We start from the raw sequence: 22,290 nt of genomic DNA, 5'->3' as shown, positions 1-22,290 counted from the left end.
TGAGGAGCATCTGGGAGTGTTTTCCAGCATCTTACGGGCAAGGGGGCTCCCCGCTGCCATCAGCTGTTTTCCGGAACACCAGAATAGAGGGTTTCTTAACCTTCAGGTAAATTCAACATTGTCACAGTGAGAGTGTCCCTGCCGGGGTCTCTCTCTTCAGGGGTCTCACAGGACAGGCCCCCAGGGCTGCACTGGGGACTTGGGAAGAAGATGATGATGATGCGGTTGGGAGAGATCATGTGCAGAAAGTGGCTCGGGGCCCAGTGTGGGATCAAGGCAAGGTCCACGGCCGCTGACGGCTCAGCCCCTGGTCCCACGGACAGCGTGGAAAGGTGGAGTCAGAGGGCCAGATGAGGAGGGGATTTCTGTGGCGTGACCTGGGCTGTGAGCTCTTCCCCAGCCCGAGGGGGAAGAGAACGGGCTTCTCCTTCACTTCCGGGCAGAGCAGACCTTGGGCAGGATCCCCGAGGTGGGGTGGGGCTGGAGGCTGGGAAGCGGCGGCACCTGGTAAGGGGGCCGTGCTCAGAAGGCTGTCGGGGGTTGCCAGCTGAACTCCCACACTAGTGCCCGCTGGCCAGACCCGGGCAGCTTGCAGAGCAGGGGTCTCCGGCTCACCTCCCCGTGTTTCCCGCAGGGCGCTCGTTCATTCTTTGGTGCATCCAGCCACACATCCTGAGCACCCTCCACGTCCACCCAGACCGGCCTGAGGACCTGCGATGACTCAGCCACCACGGTCTCCAGCAGGGGAACCCTGGCAGGGGACGGCCAGTTGCCACCAGCTCCACTTGGGGCCATCTCCTCCCAGGGCCCAGCAGGATCCAGAGGGGCACCCCTAAGGGATGGGTCACCCACCTGGCACTACTCTACCTGCCTTCAGGGCTAACCCTCTGTGGGTTCTAGGCTTCCTCTCCAGGGGTTCTGGGCCAAACTGTCCCCCCAAAATTCCTATGTGAAACCAACCCCGTCCATACCTCGAAGGTGGGCTTTGGATTCCCACACCTGTGGGAGAACACCATTTCTGTTGTTTTAAGCTACTTAGTTTACGGTCTTTGTTATGGCAGCCCTGGCAAACTGATACACCAGGGAAGGGTCTCCAGAAAGGTCTCCCACTCCCCTCTTAGAGTCCAGTGAACGCACTTGGACCACGGCACTCATTCCTGCTCTCTCCAGGGTGCTGGATGATGAGCAGATGCCCATTGCCTGCCTGTCTGGGGCTGGGCCGGGCTTGCTGTCTGGGGCCATGGTGGAAGTGTGATGTGAAATTTCGAAATGGCATTCTTGCAAATCAGTGTCAGTCCCTGTGTGGGGGTGCATGAAGAAGGCTATTCCAGAGCCTGAGCTCGAAAGCCCGAGGCCCCTGGGCCTGCATAGCCTCCCCCAATCCTCGACCCCACGTGGCTCCCACTGAGAGCTCCCCAGCCCAGGGCATGCAGACGGCCCATGAACGCTCATCTTCCTGAACCTGCTTCCAGCACACTCCCTTTCTGCTCTTGGGCTGAGCTGAGCTTGGAGATGAGCAGGCTGCTGTTGGTGCAGGGGATGGGTTGAAGCACAGCCTGCCTGGAGGGCTCATGGCCTGGCCCACATAGATGACAACCGGGACTGCAGGAATGGGGAGGCCAGGCAGACGGCACTCCTGGGGATACAAGAGCTTCCGGAGACCAGCAACGGCTTCCTCAGTAGCAGCACCTGACAGGCACATCAGCGCCTCTCCGTGTGCTGGAGTTGCTTCTGGAGCTCTGGGAAGTCATCATCGACTGCATATTTATTGTCAGCGTTGTTTAAATTCTGGTGCATTTTTCTGTGATAATGTAACAATAACATAAACATTTGCTGGGTGCTAGCTACGCTTAGTGCGTATCACCCTCACACCAACCTCATGAGGGAGATCCTGCCGTTTGCCCCATTTTACAGATGAGCAAACAGAAGCTCAGAAAGTTTAAGTCAGCTGCCCAAGGTCACACAGCTCATGGGAGGCAGAGCTGGGATTCGAATCCTTTGGGTTCACAGTTTGTGCTGTTAACCATGACTCTCCCCAAGGCTGACGCTGGGCTGGGGGTGCTGCTGGGGCCACCCAGGGCTGCAGAGCGTCAGCGCTCAATCTGGGTGAGTCTCAGGAAGAAAGGGATGTGGGGAGGGAAGAATTCTGTCCCAGTGAACACACACTGCCTGCCTCCCGCTCCACTCAGCATCCCACAGAGCCTGGGTGTTGTCTCTCCCCGGGAAACAGAACCCACCCCGAGGGTCCGTGCCCACCCTCCTGTCCACACAACCGTGGTACACACATGCGCACTCACACAGAGCACATGTGTGTCGGCAGCAGCCAACCCCAGTCCAGGCAGGTGGCCACGGACACAGCAGCTGGGCCCGTCTCACAGAGCGAGGCTGCTCGGGATAGAAAATGAGGCTTTGAAAGTCGTGGTGTGTTTGGAGGTTTAGACGTTCGCTCAGGGTTGACTGCACATTTCTCCCACTGCAGAGAGAATGAGGCCCGCCAGGCAGCCCACGCAGGTCCACGGCTGGGCTTGAGAACAGGGCCGGTCCTCGCAGGCCCCTCACTCCAGCAAGCAGGACCTTCCAGGGTGCAGAGGCTCTCTGCTCTGGGGCCAGGACTCTGAGACATCGGTTGCCCTGGAAAGGGCACAGGCCCGGCACCAGGTGGAGTGGCTCCGGCTCAGCTCCCCTTCCCCGCCCATGCGGCCTGGGGCGGATCCCCTGAGGGCCCTGGTGCAGCTTCCCCTGTGTGAAATGGAGATGTGGCCACCAGCTCATCACAGCACCGTCGTGAGTCCAGGAAATGAGGCAGCTGGAGTACCGTGTGCTTAGGAGGTCCTGGCAGGTCGTCCACGTGGTTAGTGTGTCCACCGCTACCAGCAGCAGCGGTAACAGTAGCAGTGGGGGTGCAGGAGGGTGATAGTAATAGCAGTGGTGGTAGTGATAATATTGCCAGTGGGAGTAGGAGGGGTGGTGGACGTGCTGGTGACAGTGGTAGCAGTAACAGCACTACCGGTGGTAATAGTGGCAGGAGTGATAGTAGTAGTGGTATTAATACAGGTGGTGGTGACCATAGTAATGGTAGTGATAGCAGTAGCAGTGGCAGCAGTGATAGTGGTAGTTATAGCCGGGGTGGTGGTGGTGGTGGTGGCGGTGGTGGTCCTAGGAGAGCAGGGGCGCTCATCACAGCAGCAGTAGTAGTCATGGTGGCGGTGATAGTAATAGTAGCGGTGGCTCACGCCTGTAATCCCAGCGCTTTGGGAGGTTGAGGCGGGTGGATCACAAGGTCAGGAGTTCGAGACCAGCCTGGCCAACACGGTGAAACCCCGTCTCTACTAAAAATACAAAAATTAGCCCGGCGTGGTGGTGCGCACCCGTAATCCCAGTTACTCAACAGGCTGAGGCAGGAGAGTCACTTGAACCCGGGAGATGGAGGTTGCAGTGGGCCGAGATAACGCCACTGCACTCCAGCCTGGCAACACAGTGATACTCCGTCTCAAAAAAAAAAAAAAAAAAAATAGTAGCAGTGGTGGTGGTGGTGGTGGTGGTGGTGGTGGTGGTGGTGGTGGTGGTGGTGGTGGCGGTGGTGGTGGTGGTGGTGGTGGTGGTGGTGGTGGCCGTGGTCACAGAGCAGTGGCGGTCTTCATGGTAGTAGTAGTAGTCATGGTGGTGGTGGTAGTAATGGTAGCAGTGGTGGTGGTATTGGTGACACAGCAGTGGCGGCCATTGTAGTACTAATAGTCATGGTGGCAGTGGCACCATGCAGTGGCATCAGTGGGTGCCCTCCCCAGGAGATGTGTCAAAGCTCGGCCACCACCCGGCCCCTGCCTAGCGCACCCCACGGGTCTGGGGACTGACGTCCACTGGTGCCTCCTCACGGGGGACAGTCTATATCCCCTGGTTAAAGGTAATCGCTGTGACATCGCACCGTTGTCCCAACTGTCGCACCAGCTCTCAGGCGCTGGGTCAGTGGCTGAAAGCGAAAGGTCAGCATTGCCTCTTGATCGCACTTTAATCAGATTTGGCTTCTCCCAGCTTCCGCCACCACCCTTGCCAGGGCCTGGGCCTCATTACAGAAAGTAGAAGGAGATGACATCATTCACAGCTAATTGTCTTGTTTGTCCGCTGGCTCCGTGGTTGTTTTAATAAAGGGCAGAGGCGGATAAAGGCTACATTTGCATCCTGGAAGGGGAGGCTGACAAGGGTCTCCTGCTCATGACATTTATTGTTTGCAAATGAGATAACCCAATAACAGCAGAGCCAGCTCCCTGCCGAAGCAGAGAACCCACCCTGCCCTCCTCCACCGGGGCCAGCCAGGAGCTGGGACAGACCAGGCCACGCGAGGGTAGCGCTCTCCGCCCACGGCCACCTGGGGTGATGCGTCTCAGTCCCTCTCCTGCAACACCTGCCTGTGGAGTGGCCCCACAGTAGGATGCAAGCAATGCCTGTTGAGTCCAGCCACCCGCAGGCTGGAACCAGCATCCCCGTTTGCCCAGGAGAAAGCCGGGGTTCAGAGAGATCACATTGCCTGCCAGTGCCACACAGCTGAAAGCAAACAGAGCAGCTCAGCACGCTCAGACTTTTTGCTTCACTGTTTGGCAAAACAGATCTCCATGCCTATGGTACCCAAATAAAGTCACAGCATTTTTTATTAAAATTATTATCACTGTAGAATCCTCACCCACCCTGTTTCTAGCTGCCTCTGGGGACCCAGTTCCAGTTGTCAGAACTTCTAAGGAAATTTTTAAGAAATTCCTCGAGCTGCACAGACTCTACTTTCCAGAACCAAACTAGGGATCTGGCAAAGGATAATCGTTTAGTCTTCAAATTTCATATGCAAGGACTTTCAAAACATTTGTATTAAATTGGGTTTAATAACACATTTCATAGGTGGCTTTTTTTGAAAAAAAATATTGTTTTATTGTTACCTGGCTAGGGCCAGGGGCTTCCTCTGAGTTGCCACAGCCTGCCCCATCCCCACCCCAGAACTTCCCTCTGTGACCACCCTGGACGCTATGTACAGAGAACTGTCACTCAGTCTGAGTACAGGAATGCAGCGGGATCAAAGTAAATGTTGGATGGATGGAATGGGTGGGTGGGTGGATGGAATGGGTGGGTGGATGGATGGATGGATGGATGGATGGATGGATGGATGGAAAGGTAGATGGGTAGATGGATGGATGGATGGATGGATGGATGGATGGATGGATGGGTGGGTGGTTGGATGGATGGATGGATGGATGGATGGATGGATGGAAAGGTAGATGGATGGTTGGATGGATGGATGGATGGATGGATGGATGGATGGATGGATGGATGGATGGTTGGATGGATGGATGGATGGATGGATGGATGGATGGATGGATGGAAAGGTAGATGGATGGTTGGATGGATGGATGGATGGATGGAAGATGGATGGTTGGATGGATGGATGGATGGATGGATGGATGGATATTTAGGTAGATGGATGGGTGGATGGAATGGATGGATGGATGGATGGATGGATGGATGGATGGATGGATGGATGGATGGATGGAAAGGTAGATGGATGGTTGGATGGATGGATGGATGGATGGATGGATGGGTGGGTGGGTGGATGGATGGATGGATGCATGGATGGATGGAAAGGTAGATGGATGGTTGGATGGATGGATGGATGGATGGATGGATGGATGGATGGATGGATGGGTAGGTGGGCAGATGGGTAAATGGATAGATAAATGGGTATACAGATGGGTGGGTAGATGGAAGCATGGGTAGGTGGGTGTAAGATTGGATGGATGGATTGGTGGATGGACAGATGAAGTACCGCTCTCAGTACTGCCTTCTGTGTCAGGTAGGGGCCGCTCTGAGCAGACGGTGGCTGCCAACCACCATGAAGTATGACCTTCCTTGCTCCCATGCAGCCCACAGAGGGTGGGCAAGCCTGCCTGGCTGGTTCACACCTTGCCACCCCAAGCCCATGGCAAGGAAGTAGGTGCCATGGTGACAGACTCAGGGCAACACTGGGGCACAGTGGATGCTGGGGTCAACCCCAATGCCAGCTACAATGGCTGTGCTTGTAGGGCCATTCTGATTAACCCAGATGTTCCAACATCTCCAACTTGCAGGCCACACTGTCCTTCAGTCACCAGGTTGACCTCTGTGCCACCTGGTTGTCCAGGTGTTAGGAGGCTCATTCTGGTGGAACGAGCATCTTGAGCCCCTCCTATGCCTCCAGTCCCTGCCAGACCACCTGGGAAGGCCCGGGAGCTGCTGCAGTTCCCACAAGCCCAGGCTGCCCAGGTTGCAGCCCCTGCAGCCCCCCGTGGTCCACACAGACCTCTTGCGTGCAAATCACACCCTGGGGTACTCACAGGACATGCTCGCTCCCAGAAGACCCAAAAGCTCAACCAGGTCCAGGCCGTGGGTGGTTAAAGCACTCAGCAGAAGTTCCTCAAAGCTCAGAGGCACCAGCAGAGGTGAAAGCAGATGCAGGGGCAGGTGGAGGAAGGTAGCCAGGGCATCTCGCCTCCTGGGGCTGCGGCCCTGCCTGCTCCCCCATCCCAGGCCTCCGGGCCCCTAAAGTCTGGGGAGCCTGGATTCAGGGAAGGACCCATCACCCCACAAGGGTCAGGCCGGGGGCAGGATGTTCCAAGCAGAAGCTTCACCCAGCCCTGTGGGGTGGCAGGAGGGAGCCCACTGAGCACAGGCAGGTCAGAGGCTGCTGCCGAAGAGCTAAGCCAGGACCATCTCTGGTCCCCAGGAGCCACCACTCAGCCTCACCCACTGTGAGGACTGGAATATTCACCCATCATAGGGCTGTCCACATGGCGAGACTCCACTCACATCCACCAGAGCCTCCCTGGCCCCCTCTCCTCCTCCTAGAGGCTCCCCAAGGCCCGAAATTACAACGAGAAAGTTTTTCCTTGGACTCTTCAAGGCAGACAGGACCTGGCATCTCCTGTGCATGTCTGTGGCCTGAGCAAGAGGGGACGTGGGACTGCGTGGGGGCTGTGACAGTTCAGCTTGCCCACCCGGCAGATGGGTCCTCTTCTCCTGTGGCCACTGAAGGCAAAGCAGGGGTGGGGGTAGGGGAGGGGGTCCCAGCCCCGTGAGGCTGAAAGTCAAGGTGGGATCACAGAGAAAGTCCAGGGACAAGATCAAGCCCTTCTGAAAAATGCATCTAGCAAGCCCCTGCCCGGCTGTGCCTCAGTTTCCAGTTTCTCTTTGGCCCTCTCCAACTGGGTGGACAAGTCTGGTGACTCCTTCCTGCATGCCAGCACCTGTCACGGCCCCTGCGGCCCTGGCTGAGGCCCCTGCTGGGTGGCCTGGGTGGACCAGCCCTGGACATGCAGCAGCTGGCTCTCGCTGCTCCCCGCCCTGCCACCTGGGTCCCTGCACCTGCCTCGAAGCATCCAGTTCTGGAGCTTTTGTCCTGGGCCTGGGAAATGGGCATTTTCTGCCCATAGGCACAAAGGAGAAACTGCAGGCAGGCACGCTTCTGGAAAGTTCCAGGGCTAAGGAGATGCCGAGTCGTTCTTCCTCACCCAGGGGTCAGGTCCTCACCACAGCCCCCACCCAGTGGCTGCCCCCGCCTCTGGCCAGGAGCCCTGCCCGCCAAGCCAAGCAAGAGGCGGGACGCGGTGACGCGATGTCTCCACTGAAAGGGTCCCGCTTCCCCTCAGAGAAGGGGCCGCACATTAATTCACTCAAGGCCGGGGATTAGTCATCGGGCAAATAAGATTAAATGCCCTTGAAATGGAATTAAAATGACGTCAAACAGCAGAATATCATTTTCCTAACAGCCCTGCAAGATGCTTCCTGCTTTAACCCCTTCCTGGCCCCATCTCAACCCCCAAGAGTGAGCTCCAAGCTCGGGAGAGGTGGCACCCACGTCTCTCTGTGCTCCTGAACCTGGCTCAGGGGCCATCGAGGAATCAACACTGAGGCTACTCCTGCCAACACCCTCCCAGGGCCTTCTGAGTCCTTCAAATATCAGATGGACCTTCAGGCCCCAGGCTACAGCTGGTAGAACTTGAGCCCCAGGCCCTGCACAGGGCGAGGGGACCTCAGCCCAGCCTAGGGCCCCGGGAATAGGGGGCCTGGGCCAGGAAGGAAGCCAGGAAGCTGAGGAGGTTCCTGGTCTCTCCCTGGCACCTCCGTGCCTTCCTTCACTCGGTTCTTTCTCCTCGTTAGCACAGCCCTGCCTGCCCTCCTGGGGAACCAGCAGGCCCTCAGCTCCTTGTTCACCACCTGCAGCTCAGGGGCCCGAGGATTCGTCTCCACTTGCAGGAATCCTCTTTTCATCTTAGAAGAGAAGAGAGGAATGATAAGGCTGGGCCCAGAGTCCCAGGGAGGACTAGGCAGGCGGGCACCAGGGCTGGGAACAGCCCCTCTCCCATGGGGCTGTCCACACAAAGCCCTCATTTCCCCAGGCCCATCTGGGGTCTGGAACCCCCTTAGAAGCCAGAAAGAGTGAACCCCACCTGGCCCACCTCAGCAGCGCAACCCAGCCAGGGAAAGGGGCAGGAACGTCTGTGCCTCCTGTGCCCCTGCCCGGGTCCCCACGCCAGGACAGCGTCTTTGCAGACATTCATGGTGACCTGCCTAGTCGGGGAACATGCCTCTCTGTAGGAGGCCCTGGCTATTAGCACCACCGAGACGACCTGCAAAGTCGCTGGAAATCTTCCTCAATCATCAGCCTTAAGCCCTGATCATCATTTCTCATTTTCACTGAAACAATCACCTGTCGGAGAGGGTGGGCTGTGAGCTGCCCATTCGTCACGCAGGGCTGCCCTGGCCAAGTGCACGCGCCGCCCGGCCAGGCTCAGGCGTGGATCAATAGGCCACGTTCAGGCCGTCAATAGCTGTAAATACATTTGCGGGATCAGTCAGGACAGCCTCCTGCCCGGCCACCATCCAGGGAGCTGCTGGGCGCAGAGTACGAGTGGGGCAAGCGGTGTGCACCCTTTACCGTCCCTGGGGTCCAGCCTGTCTGGGGCTGCGTCTGTCCCAGCTCTCCCTGCCAGTGCTTCCACTTGGGCCGTCATCCTTGCTGTGCTGAGCCTGGCTCTGCCCGGCTCTGGGACTCCAGAAATGAGCCGTGATAACAGAGGCCTGGGAAGGGCCCCTCTGTGTCCTCCTCCTTGCCTTCCGCAACCCTCAGCAACAGGCCTCGGCTCCTCCTCTCTTCTCGTGGGGTGGCCTCCCATGGCAGCCAGTCCGGCTCTGGGGACGGTGAGTTCTCTCGATTCCGAGTGGAGATAAGCCCAACCCAGCATCCTCTCAGGCTGGGGGCAGCTCTCTCCACACCTGCACCGTGCCCAGGAAGTTGGCACTGATGCCCTCTAAACATTTCTCCCGGCCTGGCACCCTGTCTCCCTCCGGCCACCGCCCAGCAGAGGGCCCCCACTAACCAGGGCCACTGTCACTCAGAGTCCAGCTCAGGAACTGGGCATTTTCCCCCCACCCATCCCCACCACAGGGCAGGGCAGGGAGGTGGGGAGTCACCTCCTTCAGCCCGGACTCCGCATTCCGGTCGGGGACAATCCTTAGTGCCAATGAGGTCCCTGGTGTCTGTCACCCACTGCTGCTGTACTCTCCTCTCCAGAGACTCAGAATCAACAGGCCGTGGAAAGAGAGATTTATTGCAGTGAATTAGCTCATACAATGATGGAGGCTGAGTCCGCAGACCTGCACCGAGTCAGTAAGCTGGAGCCCTGGGAGAGCTGATGGTGGCAAATCAGGCCGGACACCAGCAGACTCGACACCTGGGTGGAGCTGATGTTCCAGCTCAAATCTGAAAGCAGGAAAGCAGCCGCCCTCCCGGCTGCAAGGCAACCAGTTTCCTCGTCATGCCTTCATCTGATTGAGCGAGGCCCACCCGCATGGGGGAGGGACATCTGCTGTGCTCAGTCTACGGATTCCAGCCTGAATCTCATCCAGAAACACCTGCACGGACACACCCCAAATCGGAGTCCACCAAATGTCTGCAGTCGCGTGGACACATAAAATTAACCCTCACAATACCTCTCCCTCTGCCCCAAACACGCAGCTGCTTCACCCACCTTCACCTGTTCCCCCGCAATTAGCCTGTGTCCCCCAGTGCCATCCATTCTGGGCACCCTGGTCAGAAGGCCCCATCGGCTCTGCCCCTTGGGGGTCCTCAGGATTTTGACTGAGCCCCCAGGGTTGGTGGCTTACGTGCCTACCTGCATTTTCCACCAGCAGGAGGAGCAGGCTCATTGCAGCTGCATTGGAGGACGAGGGCTGAGTCTAGCCTCCTCCTTGGGACTGCAGCCTCCAAGGCAGGCTCTTCACAGGAGGGTCACCAGAGCCCTCAGCTGGGAGCTGGCACATGGCCACTTCCGGCTAAATCGAGCCCGGTGGCCAAGCCTGCCATCAATGGGGACAGTGGATGAGGAAATAGTGTTTGCTGAGCGACAATCTTCTCTCTCACAGCCGCCAGCCTCAGGACAGGGAGCACGGGAGGGAGGCAGAGGGCAGCCCTCTTGTCCTTTCTCACCCCGGGATGCAGATGACAATGACCACACTCTGGTGACCAACCAGGCTGCCCCAGCCCCTCCCAGACACTCACCCGGGCCAGGCAGCAGGAGGAAGCTCCCTGGTGCTCTCAGCTCCCAGAACAGAGGATGCCTTTGCTTTGGGAGGATGGGGTGATCCTAACCACTGCTCCGTCCTGCCTTGGAGGAGGAGGCCTGAGGGTAGGGCCCAGCTACCAACCAGGCTGCTGCTGTGGACAGCCTCCATCCTGCCCAGGGCCCCTTCCTGGCAGCCCCCTCCCTCCGTTGCTCTCTGCACTCACCTCTGCCTGGCCTTGCCCCTCCCCCGGGGTTCATCTCAGCCTGCATCTCCCAACTCTGCACCTCCCAAGACAATCTCGTTTGGGCTCTGAGTCACGCTGGGGCCTCACAGGACATCTCTGGGGATGGGTGAGCCTTGGCTGGCGTCCCCGCAGAAGCGTGACCCTCACACCTGGGCCAGCGCTCTGAGGCCCCCGGCCAGCTCACCTGCTGCTAAAAGAAGGGAAATGAAGCACTGGCTTGTTTTCAAGGGAAAAGGCCGGCAGCAGATGGCCCCTGCAGCCCCCCGGCCCCTCCAGCCCCCGGGTCCCTCCAGCCCCCGGTCCCTGCAGTCCCCTGGCCCCTGCAGCCCCCTGGCCCTCCAGGCCCCTGGCCTACTCCTGCAAGCCCTGGGGAACCGATTCTGCAGCTCCGGGCCAGAGCCTTCACCTCCAAACCAGGACAAACCAGGCAGTCTGGGGTAAGAGTGGGAGGAAGTAAAAGGCACCCATGGGCTCCTGGGAGTTGAAATAAGAATATCTCAGTCTCTTTCCATAAGGAAACCTAAAAAGAGCACAGAACATTTTGAAAATGGAAGCCAAATATTTATTAAATATTTTCGAATCCATCAGAAACCACAGATGCTGGGGAGAACAAAACCCACTTTCAGAAAGAGGTGGCGAGTCACGGGGAGAAGCGGGGAGCACGTCTGAGGGACTCTGCTCCGTGCCCAGCTGTCGACACCCCCGTTCCCACACCCCTGCCCCCCTCCCCAGCAGAGCCCCCCTCCCCAGCAGAGCCCCTCTCCCGGCCCCAGCAAGACCCCTTCCAAGGCAGGTCTGAGAAACGCAGAAACGTGATCTCTCAAAGCTGATCAACGTTGTGGACACCTGGAACAGATGACCAGAGACATCGTGCCTGTGTGCCCTGCGCCCACTCCAAACAGCCGCCCCGAGAGCTCTGCCGGGCCCCGCCCCAACACGCGGGAGCCAAAACGCTGGTGGCATGGCTGGCCCGGGGCTTTAGTAACACAAAGTGACAATGGGGTGACCAGCTCAGGGCCTCTGGATACTGGAGGACAGAGAGGCTGTGGGAAAGAGGAGGCTGCAGAGGGTGGGGTGGGCACTCCCAGGCCCTCGCTCAGGCCCTCGGCCCATGACATCAGCACCTTCTGGCCAAGGTGGAACGGTCACTGGGCGAGGGTGAGATCCAGACATGTACCTTCCAGCCAGTCCCTCACATAAGAAGCTTCCAGAAACAAGTACAGATCTAACTCTAAATTGGCAGAAGTAAGGTGGGGGGGGGGCCTGTCTTGATTTCCAGTGACTCTTGGTGAGGGCTGCGCTGGGAGGCCCTGCAGGGCCTGGCCCCAGGCAGGAGCTGAAGGCCCTTGGTGACCTCTGCCTCCAAAAGTGCCCGCCCCTCCACCTTCCTCTCTCAGCTGCCCCACCTCTCCCGCTGCCACTGCAGCCCCCTCCCTCCCCCACCCACACCGTGTGCCTTTCCTTCTCTTCCTTCTTGGGCATCTTCTGCTCCAAAACCCACCACCCGCCGGGTTCTATCAAAGGCCATAGAGCCGAACAGCAGCAAGAGCCCCCACTGATGGCGGGAGGTGGGGGGGCGGGGGGGGAGCAGGGAGGGGCGGAGGTGGAGGGGGAATGAGGTGGTGGAGGCAGAGGTGGGGAGGGATGGTTGTGCCACTCACACTTTAATACATATTTGTCCCTGACACACGCATGAGGTGTCCAGTACAGTACCCAGACCACAGCCGGCTTGCAGACATGCTAGTGGCCATTACTGAACATTTTATTGGCTGTAATTGATCGGGTGCTTCCTGTGTCCTGGACATTGTCCAGCGAGGCAGGTGCTGCCCCTCCCAGCAAGCAGGGCTCTTTAGACAGAGGAGGAGCTGACAGGAGGAGGTCTGCCCAGGCGGGGTCTCGAGATGCTGTCACCACCCTAGCGTCCTGAAGCCGCCCCAGGGGCCAGGAGCGAGGCCTGGAGGGTGCTGGGCCAAGGCGGGAGGAAGGTGGGACCTCCAGCCGGACGTCCCCTGCAGCAGGCCACACAGGCAGCTGGAAGCAGCTTCCGCAAAGCCTGCATGCATAATGAAGCCAAGCGTCAGGAGCTGCTGGTGAAGGCTCTGGGTAAACACTGATTATCGATCATTAAAAGAACAGGCTATTAGCAAGACAGAGGAGGCTGGCGGCCTTCGGGAAAGAAGGGGTGTTTGCACAGCCAGGAGTAAGCGGCCGCCCCAGGGACCCCTGAAGGGGGGCACAGTTATCAGCCTCAGTAATGGCACTGGAGCCGGCCACAGAGCCCCCGAAACCTGACACACAGGCCTGGCTTCTGCAGGTGGGGCCCCAGGTCTACAGATCTCCAGGGCACTGCAGGGCAACATCTGCAGGGTCCTTGCTGCCACCGTGGCCCTTGCTGTCCCCTGACCCTCTGGCACTTGAAGGCAGGGTGGACGGGGGCAGACAGGTTGCCATGGCAGGGAGAGACACATGCAGACCCCTCCACCTGCCATCACACAAGGTCCCTCCTTCCTGTGCCTGCTGGTGCCAATGACAGGCACCCTTCCGGCTAAACAGAGGACCGATGTCATGGCTCGGGACCCCCAGGCCACCTGCCCCTGTCTGCACCCGGTGAGCCCTTCTCCACAGCCCTTGGTCCCTGAGGTCACGGGGAGGCCTCTATAGCTGTTGTCTTCCACATAACCAGAAGCTTCCAGGCCACGTTTCACCTGAGAAGCAGGAACAGGGGAAGGTCACAGGGAACAGGTGCCGTGGCGCAGGGGACACCAGCATGGCAAACGCCACACCTGGGGACCTGCCAAGCCCTGGTGGCACACAGCCCTGACAACCCTCAAACCCTGCTGACCTCGAGAAGCCCCAGCCCCGGTGCATGCTGATGGCCATCCAGATGTCACTCCATCCTGAATGCTGGACTCAGCATGGGGGAGGACAAGCTCCCGTTCTCATCCCCAGCCACCTACACTGAGAACACAGGAATCATTGGGAAGAGATAGGCACTGGATAGACAAATGAGCAAAAAGGTCAAAGTGGCAATTCATAAAACAAGGGCAAATGACAAGAGGCACAGAAACACACAATCGCGTGTAGCCAGACACACTCCAACAATGAGAAGTCATTTCTCACCAAGCTGGCCATGGGGGGTGAAAAAAAATCCAGAACTGGAGATTTCAAACACTGGCCAGGGTTGGGAGGTGGGCATGGGAGGAGAGGCAGCGAGAGGGCAAGTGGCCACCGTCCCTGGGGACAGTGTAGGCCGGCATGTCATGTGGCCCGAATGTGCCACTCCAGAGGACTGACTTGGAAGGTATCATCAGACCAGAAACAATGGAGCAGAGGCCCCAGGGGAGTGACAGACAGACTGTGAGAAGACCTGGGGAGGGCACAGCCCCAGAATCCCGGGATGTGCAAAGGCCCTGCAGCAGGAATGTGCCTGGGGGCTGAGAAGCAGCAGCAGGAAGCAGGAGGCAGGGGAGGTGCCAGGACTCGTGGCTGGAGAGGCAGCTGAGGTGACGTCTCCATCGCAGAGATTTGGAAGCACCTTACATGGCCACCCAGGGGCCAGCCGTCACCGCCAGTGGCACATCCAAATAACAGAACCCCACAAAAGCATTAGGCATTGTTGCGGCAGGTATTTATTCACGATAAAAATCTTCCAGGTTTACAAAGCAGCAGTGCAGCACAGTCTCAACCTGTGAGAAAAAAAAATGACCTAATAACATGAACACGTGCACAGACAAAACCCGAAAGCCTTTGACATCAACATGTTTACGGTGGGTGACATGGGGGATGTGATAACAGGGGAGACTATTTTTCTTTGTGCACAGTATTTTTGAAATTTTCTGTCATTAGTGTTGCATTTATACAATGCAGTCCCTAGGTGCATTTCCTATGAAAATTGTTTAGGCTTCTCTTAGGAGCACTGACGTCAGGCACATCATATCTGCTGACTCATGACCCTCACTGATGGCATGTGGGAGGGTTTCCAGGGTGCGGGTGCTGTGCTTAGCAGGTGCCTTGGTAGCTGGGCTCATCATACATGTGCATGCATATGCACACACACACTCATATATGCATGCACACGCACATTCACAGGCATGCCCACACACACTCACACAGATATGCACACATGCACTCACATGCATGTATACATTCACAGACATGCACATACTCAAGCACACAGATATGCACACATGCACTCATATATGCATGCACACGCACATTCACAGGCATGCCCACACACACTCACAGATATGCACACATGCACTCACATGCATGTACACATTCACAGACATGCACACACTCACGCACACACAGATATGCACACACTCTCATATATGCATGCACACGCACATTCACAGGCATGCGCGCACACACACACAGATATGCACACATGCACTCACATGCATGTACACATTCACAGACATGCACACAGACACAGATATGCACACATGCACTCATATGCATGTATACATTCACAGACATGCACATACTCACGCACACACAGATATGCGCACACACACTCATATATGCATGCACACGCACATTCACAGGCGTGCCCACACACACACATATGCACACATGCACTCACATGCATGTACACATTCACAGACATGCACACACTCACGCACAGATATGCACACACGCACTCATATATGCATGCACACGCACATTCACAGGCGTGCCCACACACACAGATATGCACACATGCACTCATATATGCATGCGCACACATTCACAGACATGCACACACACACAGATATGCACACATGCACTCATATATGCATGCACACACACAGATATGCACACATGCACTCACATGCATGTACACATTCACAGACATGCACACACACACAGATATGCACACACGCACTCATATATGCATGCGTACACACATTCACAGACATGCACACAGTTACACACTCACACACAGATATGCACACATGCACTCATATATGCATGCGCACACATTCACAGACATGCACACACACAGATATGCACACATGCACTCATATGCGTGCACACACACATTCACAGACATGCACACACTCAGACATGCACACATGCACGATGCACACATTCACACACATATGCATATGTGGCTGTGAGTGAATGACGGAGGGGGGACGGCCGTGCCACTCATACTTTAATGTGTATTTGTCCGTGATACGTGCACACACATGCACATACACACATGCACACATGCATGCACACACACATGCACGTGCATGCACACATTCACACACATGCACGCATGCACATTCATGCACTACTGGGAGCCGGGAGCTCCCGGGGTTCCACGGAGCCAACAGCCTCTGGGCTGGACCTCTGGCCCCTCAGCTCAGCTACGGAACCTGGGGCCTCTGAGTCCTCATCTGCAGATGGGATGCTGAAAGTCTTGAGAGTAGGGATGAAGAGCAAATGGATGCAGGCTTGGAAAGCTCAGGGGTGAGGTCTGAGGGGTCAGAACCTAGCCCCTGCTGTTATTCCCGCTTCACAGAGGAGATCAAAGATAGAACATGGCCCGTGCTCACACGGCAGGCAGCCACAGAGGTGGCTAGCTGTCCACTCACTGAATTCCCATTGCCTTTTATGTTAAAAAATAAAAATAAAATGAATTGAGTTCAGGTAAGGAAGGGGCAGCCCCTCCCCTGCCCGGAGGCACAGCTGGTCTCGGCCCTTCGGGGTGCTCCTTTTTTATCTTGCTAGTGATTGGCCTTGTGGTGAGCATGAGAGCCAGAAAGTTCTGGCCAATGAGATCCGCAAGGAGGTAGTCCAGGGCTCTTCAGAGATGACTCCTCTTCTTCTGGCTCTGGAAGCTGCCATGGGCTGTGGGCTGTCTTGGTCCACAAGGCAACAACTCTGGACGCCCCATGCTAAGGATGACAGGGCCAGGAAGACACAGCCAGCCTCTGAGCTGCCCCAGGCCACCTCCCCCAAGACATTTCCACCGGAAGACACCTTCACCGCCAAAGCCCCCACAGGCTGGGGTTCCCAGCCAGCCAGCACCTCACCCATCCCTGCATCGCAGCTGGCCCCAGCCCTCTCCCAGTTCCACTTTGATGCCACTCTTTCTCCAGCAGCTGCTACCATCAGAGCCCTGAGGCCCACATCACCTCCTGTCTGCCCTCTGGAGCGCAGCCTGGCATGACTCACCTGGGCCTAGGGGCCTCCGCAGTCCCCAAGCTCCTAGGGGTCTCCCCTCTATTTTGCAGACTTGAATCCTGGGAGAGAGGAGAATATGGCTCCATCACCCATGTTCCGCACCTGGCCAGGCCCCAGCATCAGTCCACAGTGCGGGACTACACCCAGAGAGGTGTCGCAGGGGCTGTCCGTGGAGGATGGTGCCTGAGAGCTGGGACCATGGGATGGGAGAGGCACCTGCTCCCCCTTGCCCACCCCTTCAGTCTGGCAGAACTGGAAAGCTCCGGTCACCTGCCTGGCCTGGGGCCCCTGACACCCTGGGGGCCTGGGAGGTGGCTTGAAGGGGAGAGCTGGAGATGGCCAGGCTGCTGGACCAATGCCCCCCGTAAGACCACACTTGTGAATTCATTCCTCTTATCACCAACCCTCTTAAAATGTATTCAAGTTTGGTTTTTTAATTATGCAAATGATTTGTGAATAAATTTGTATAATAAAAATTCAAACTTTATAGACACCGAAATCCCCTGTTCCCCTTCCTCAGTCCAAGTGGCCTCCCCAGGGTGACAGCCCTTCTCCCACTGGTGTGTGTCATTCCAGAACATTCCCTGTGCACCTCATGCATTTGTGTTTGGGGGAACGCAGCTGTGCTTTGTGTGTTTCCTTAGATGGCATTGAATGGCACATGTCACTCTGGGGTTTCTCTTTTCTTCCCCAGTGACTCAGTTATGCACACTGTTGAGGACAGGGCCGACTGCCTGCAGCACCCAGGCTGCCTTTGCGTGTGTCCACATGACCCAGCCACACTCCCCACCCCTCACAGCTCCATGTGGCCATTTCCACCACCCGTCAGGATTCTCCACCCTCCTCGGGTAGGAGTGAGACCCAACAGGGTGGCAGAGCCCTGGAAGGCCCTGGGCCCTCAACCAGGAAGACCCACCTGGAACTGTGCCACCAACAAGACCCAATGTCTATTGAGTCAAGGAGCAGCATGTTGAATCCATGCTTACCGCGGCCAGAATGCCCCAGATGCTATGGCCATCGCCTGTCTTTCCCTGAGGACCTAGCTCATCTTTTTATCTGCTGTGTAGTATTTGCAGGGCAGACGTTGCTATGGTCTCCACGTTTGAGTCACCCCCAAATTCCATGTTGAAGTTCTCATGTCCAACGTGATGCTACTGGGAGGCAGGGCCTTTGGGAGTTGATTAGGTCATGGAGGTGGAGCCCTCAGGAATGGGATTAAGGACCTAACAAAGACACCCTGGAGAGCTCCGTCACCCCGTCCTCCATGTGAGGACACAGCCAGAAGACGGCCATCCGTGAACTGGAAAACAAAAGCAGCCTGCCCTCACGGACAAGGCGTCTGCCAGGGCCTTGCCCCTCCAGCCTCCAAACCTGGGAGACGTCAATCTCAATGTATAAGCCCCCTGCTCGGGGTGTTTTGCTACAGGAGCCTGAATGGCAGATCACACCACTTTATTCTGCATTCCTCTGCCCATGAACTTGCAGGTAACTCCCATATGACAGGCCACACTTGCAACAAATCCTGAATCTCAGGGTAGGGTCTCAGGGCATCTTCCTTGGTGGGCTGCCTCTCCTTGTCCTGCTCCTGGCCATGGAGCCCACTCTGGCCCTAAATACAGGTTTCGCCTGCCAGCCAGATTTCCAAGTGGTCTTTGTGCTGGGGACCCAGCGGGACCAGCCCTCTCTCCAGGGACTGCTGTCAGGATGAGGAATTGTTTTTCCAAATGTGGCTTTTGCCGCAATCTCCCCCTTTGTGTTCTGGACAATTTGATCAAACAAGCAATAGAGAATCCATCAACATCTTCCAACCAGGAGACAAAGAGGCCTGACATGCCGCATGATGGCGTCCCCTAGCCCCATACCACACGGCAGGCCACCCAGGCTGGAGAAATCAGCCTGTTTTGTGCTGAGATGATAACAAATCACAGCAGGCACACCCACGCTCCGGGTGCCCACATTGTCCGCCTGTTGCCTGTCATTGCAGATGAAGCCTGGGCTCCTGGGCTCTGTGTGTGGGGCTCAAAGCTGGACTGTGGATCCCAGATAAGCACTAGGACCCTGGCCACTGCTCACGGCCCTGCCTCAGCCTCCAGAGCTCTAGAGAGGCCTAGGCGACCCCCAGTCCTACCCAGGAGGGGCACAGCTGGGCTCTCCAAACTCCAGATGTGACCAGACCTGCCCTGTACGCACGGTGCATGGCAGGCTCATGAAACCCAACTGCCGATGAGGGTAGGAGCTGGGCCATCTACCAGGACGGCCAGACACTGCCTCTCCGGCTAAGGCTGGGCCTTCCAAGGCTGGTCCCCAGGGGGTTCTCAGGACATCCAGGTGACAGTGACAATGGCAAATCACGGCCACCGGCTTTTCCTTCATCCTTGCTGGAGGAGCACTTTCCACCCTGCATCCTCCCTCAATAGGACGGGAGTGGTCCAGGCCCCAGAGGCTTCATGCGAGTGCCGAGGGGCCCACAGGGCAGAGCTGTCCTTCTGGAAGGTCAGAGACCCAGAAGGACAGACCCGGCTGTAGCATGAATGACCCTGGTGCCCATTTTACCTCCAGCTGTCCCATCCCATCCTTCAACTGAGTGGACGCCCTGGAGCGCTGCGGGGACACACAGGTCCCGGAAACCATGTGAGCTCTGTCTGCAAACTGCAACCTGCCGGGCATGTGGAGCCTCTGCCAGCCGAGAGGGAGCCCAGCACGCAGTGAGCACCTTGCACCCTCGCAGTCACCAGTCATGCTGCCTCCGTGACAATGGTGGAAACGAGGAAACGGAGGCACAGTAGAGGGAGGTCCAGGAGGCAATACGGCGTCTGCTGCAGAGGACGCAGCCCAAGTTCCCTGATGCTAAAGGGATTTGCCTAAACACACCCACCTGAACCTCTCGCAGCAAAGCCTGGCGCTTAGGCAGCCCCTCACACAGGCCTGAGCTCTGAGCCCCCACCTCACCCTGAGCCCTAGGGCACCTCCCCATGCCTGAGTGGGCGGGCTTTAGAAGCACCAGCCCCCTCCCCTCCTGCCTGCACCCCTCCCTCAGGTGTCAGAGAGGCAGACCCCCTGCTGAGCTCTGCTGGACAAGCTATGGCAGATGTGTGGGAGTTGCACACATTGCAGTCTGGGCTCCTGGCGCAGAGCTGCACACAGCAGGTGCACCGCAGAGGCCAGCAGGGCCCCGGCCCACACCGCCACCCCAGAGTCCTCTCTCAGCCCAGTACGGAGAAGCCCCTCCCCTTCCTCTGCAAGCCCAGCCTCTCGCCCCCACCCACGACAACTCAAGGGTGCAGCAGCTTTGCCCACTGCAGCTTGGGCACCAGAAGGCCTCATTCCAAGACCCAAGGCAGGAGGACAGCAGCACCACAGAGGGGCCCTGGGCCACCTGCTGGCTAGCGAAACCACCTCACCTTTCCACAATAGGTCCCCCTTTCACCCTGAGTGAGAACCGCCCCTACCAGGGGGCTACCTGGGGGGCCGCAGCCTCCCAGCTGCCAGCACATGCCCAGTGCTTTCTCCAGCCTGGCCCAGCCCCAGCCAGGCAGGACTGCCCTGCAGAGCACCCCTGAAGGCCGCACACTTGCAAGCTGCCCACAGACTGTGCAGCGCTGGCTGCCTTTTATGGGGATGCTACGCCTGTGCAAGCCGAGCAGAACAAATGAGATTGGAATTTTATGATTCTTTTACAGTGCTGCTCTGCGGAGAGCTTGTTTAATTAGCTTCTAACTCAACACCTTTGGCGACTCTAAATAATTCACCACCCCGGCTCCCCTCACCCAGCCAGGTGTGCCAGTGCTGCTTCCACCCCCACCAGCTCTGCAGGGAGGTCACAGCTCCACAGTTCCAAGGCACAGGCCCCTCGAAGGGCAGATGCCTGGTGACGTGTCCTTTTCAGGAGCAGCCTTCCCAGAAGGCACAGTAGCCTTCCTACCTGGGCACAGCCACAGGTGTGCCAGGCCACCCTGGGGACAACGGTCAACCTCTCTGGACTAGCAGGGAACACTCCCGCCTGCTCTGCACACGCCCCCTCCGCCCTCCCGGGCAGCAGTTTCTCTGCCCCCAGCCTCAGCACTGGCCTGACCACCCCAGGGGCCTCAGCTGCCCATCCTGGGCTCCCTCCCTTCCTGGCGTTCCACAAGGTCAGTGTCCCACCGTCTCCTCCTCTAGGAGCCTAGCAGCAGGCACAGCACCGACCCCCATCCACTGCAGGGCGGAACCCAGGCCACGGGAGCATAGATGGAAGGGTGACCACCCGCCCACGGAGGGAGCCAGTTCCCGGGGCCTTCCTGAGCCCCTGGGTGGAAATGCACAGACTGTGGCTCCTAGGCCAGTCCCCTGGCTGCTCTCGGGGAGGGGGTCATCGCGTCCATCCCCCTGCTCCATCGCGTCCAGACCCCGGCAGAAGCTCAGCCCTGGCCTTTCTGGAGAGGAGCTGGGAACCGGGAGCCCATAAACCCAAGCCCAGCCCTGCTCCTGTGTTTAACAGCCCCCATCAAGGACTCCTGCCCGGATTCAATTACCATCGCAGGTTTTATAAGACCAGCAGTGCTCACTGCGCTCTGACAGAGAGACGTGACCCCGTGCCAGCTGGCTCCTCTCTCTCTCTCTTTCTCTCTCTGTCGTACACGTTCAAATGCCAAGGGGCGCTGGGGAGGGTGGAGAGGCCAAAGTTACCTCCTGCACCTTCTCCTAGGAACCAGGAAGCCCAAAGTGAGTGAAGCCAGTTCTGAACACACAGGAAGGGTCAGAGGACATGCTGGCATGCCACTCCGTGTGCCCTGGAATTATAGAGGAGCAGGGCTGGCACAGGGAGGCATGCCCACCATGCCTCGGGTGATGTGGAGAGCCCGTGTGGTGTGTGTGCTCACGGCCCCACACAGCCACCCCAACACGCCACCCTGACTGCCTGCCTCTGCCTCCACTCCTGCCCCACGGTCCTGGGGCTCAGGCCTTGGCATCCTGCCCTGTGGCCGGAGTGGGCTATCCCAGAGTGGACACATGACCCGCACCAGCCAGGGCTCCTGGTTTCTCCCTGGGATGGGAAGAAAAGGGGCCTCCCCCAGCAGAGAGTCTTAGGCATATGGGGTTTCAGGTGCTTTGGGGCAAAGTGAGTCTCAGGGCATAGATCTGGCCCACCCGAGGGCAGAAGAGAAAGACGGGGACAGGCTAGCTGGAGGTCCCCTAGGCCCAGCCACACGGCCCTCTCCTCATTGCATCGCCCCCAGGAAGTGTCCCCAGCACCTGAGCTCCTTGGCAATGGTCCATCTTGGGGAAGAGGTGAGAGAGGAACCCCAGGTGCCCCCCAGGAGGCCTGGCCT

The 22,290-nt window shown here is 57.9% G+C and overlaps 1 long non-coding RNA gene across 1 annotated transcript in view, besides 6 other annotated features; it reads right to left on the bottom strand.

Annotated features, from left to right (window-relative positions):
• Positions 1,455-1,956: an enhancer, noted in NCBI's record as "H3K4me1 hESC enhancer chr14:104768907-104769408 (GRCh37/hg19 assembly coordinates)". NCBI's record gives its function as "activates a minimal SCP1, AML or CMV promoter by ChIP-STARR-seq in naive H9 embryonic stem cells {active_cell/tissue: H9 hESC(naive)}" and the evidence as "EXISTENCE:reporter gene assay evidence [ECO:0000049][PMID:30033119]".
• Positions 6,943-7,632: an enhancer, noted in NCBI's record as "H3K4me1 hESC enhancer chr14:104763231-104763920 (GRCh37/hg19 assembly coordinates)". NCBI's record gives its function as "activates a minimal SCP1, AML or CMV promoter by ChIP-STARR-seq in primed H9 embryonic stem cells {active_cell/tissue: H9 hESC(primed)}" and the evidence as "EXISTENCE:reporter gene assay evidence [ECO:0000049][PMID:30033119]".
• Positions 9,016-9,707: an enhancer, noted in NCBI's record as "H3K27ac-H3K4me1 hESC enhancer chr14:104761156-104761847 (GRCh37/hg19 assembly coordinates)". NCBI's record gives its function as "activates a minimal SCP1, AML or CMV promoter by ChIP-STARR-seq in naive H9 embryonic stem cells {active_cell/tissue: H9 hESC(naive)}" and the evidence as "EXISTENCE:reporter gene assay evidence [ECO:0000049][PMID:30033119]".
• Positions 10,022-10,689: an enhancer, noted in NCBI's record as "H3K4me1 hESC enhancer chr14:104760174-104760841 (GRCh37/hg19 assembly coordinates)". NCBI's record gives its function as "activates a minimal SCP1, AML or CMV promoter by ChIP-STARR-seq in naive H9 embryonic stem cells {active_cell/tissue: H9 hESC(naive)}" and the evidence as "EXISTENCE:reporter gene assay evidence [ECO:0000049][PMID:30033119]".
• Positions 10,690-11,358: an enhancer, noted in NCBI's record as "H3K4me1 hESC enhancer chr14:104759505-104760173 (GRCh37/hg19 assembly coordinates)". NCBI's record gives its function as "activates a minimal SCP1, AML or CMV promoter by ChIP-STARR-seq in naive H9 embryonic stem cells {active_cell/tissue: H9 hESC(naive)}" and the evidence as "EXISTENCE:reporter gene assay evidence [ECO:0000049][PMID:30033119]".
• Positions 12,548-13,530: an enhancer, noted in NCBI's record as "H3K27ac-H3K4me1 hESC enhancer chr14:104757333-104758315 (GRCh37/hg19 assembly coordinates)". NCBI's record gives its function as "activates a minimal SCP1, AML or CMV promoter by ChIP-STARR-seq in primed H9 embryonic stem cells {active_cell/tissue: H9 hESC(primed)}" and the evidence as "EXISTENCE:reporter gene assay evidence [ECO:0000049][PMID:30033119]".
• LINC02691 (long intergenic non-protein coding RNA 2691) overlaps positions 16,457-22,290 on the bottom strand; it is a 64,486-nt gene continuing 58,652 nt past the window's right edge. The window contains exons 2-3 of the long non-coding RNA NR_146612.1: positions 16,973-17,040; positions 16,457-16,692 (exon numbers count right to left, since the gene is read on the bottom strand). This is a non-coding gene — a long non-coding RNA (long intergenic non-protein coding RNA 2691). The remainder of the gene's footprint in view (positions 16,693-16,972; positions 17,041-22,290) is intronic.

Source organism: Homo sapiens, chromosome 14 (assembly GCF_000001405.40).
Source record: "Homo sapiens chromosome 14, GRCh38.p14 Primary Assembly".
NCBI lineage: Eukaryota > Metazoa > Chordata > Mammalia > Primates > Hominidae > Homo > Homo sapiens.
Note: the sequence above shows the minus strand (reverse complement) of the source record. Positions and strands in the feature narration are given on the sequence as shown.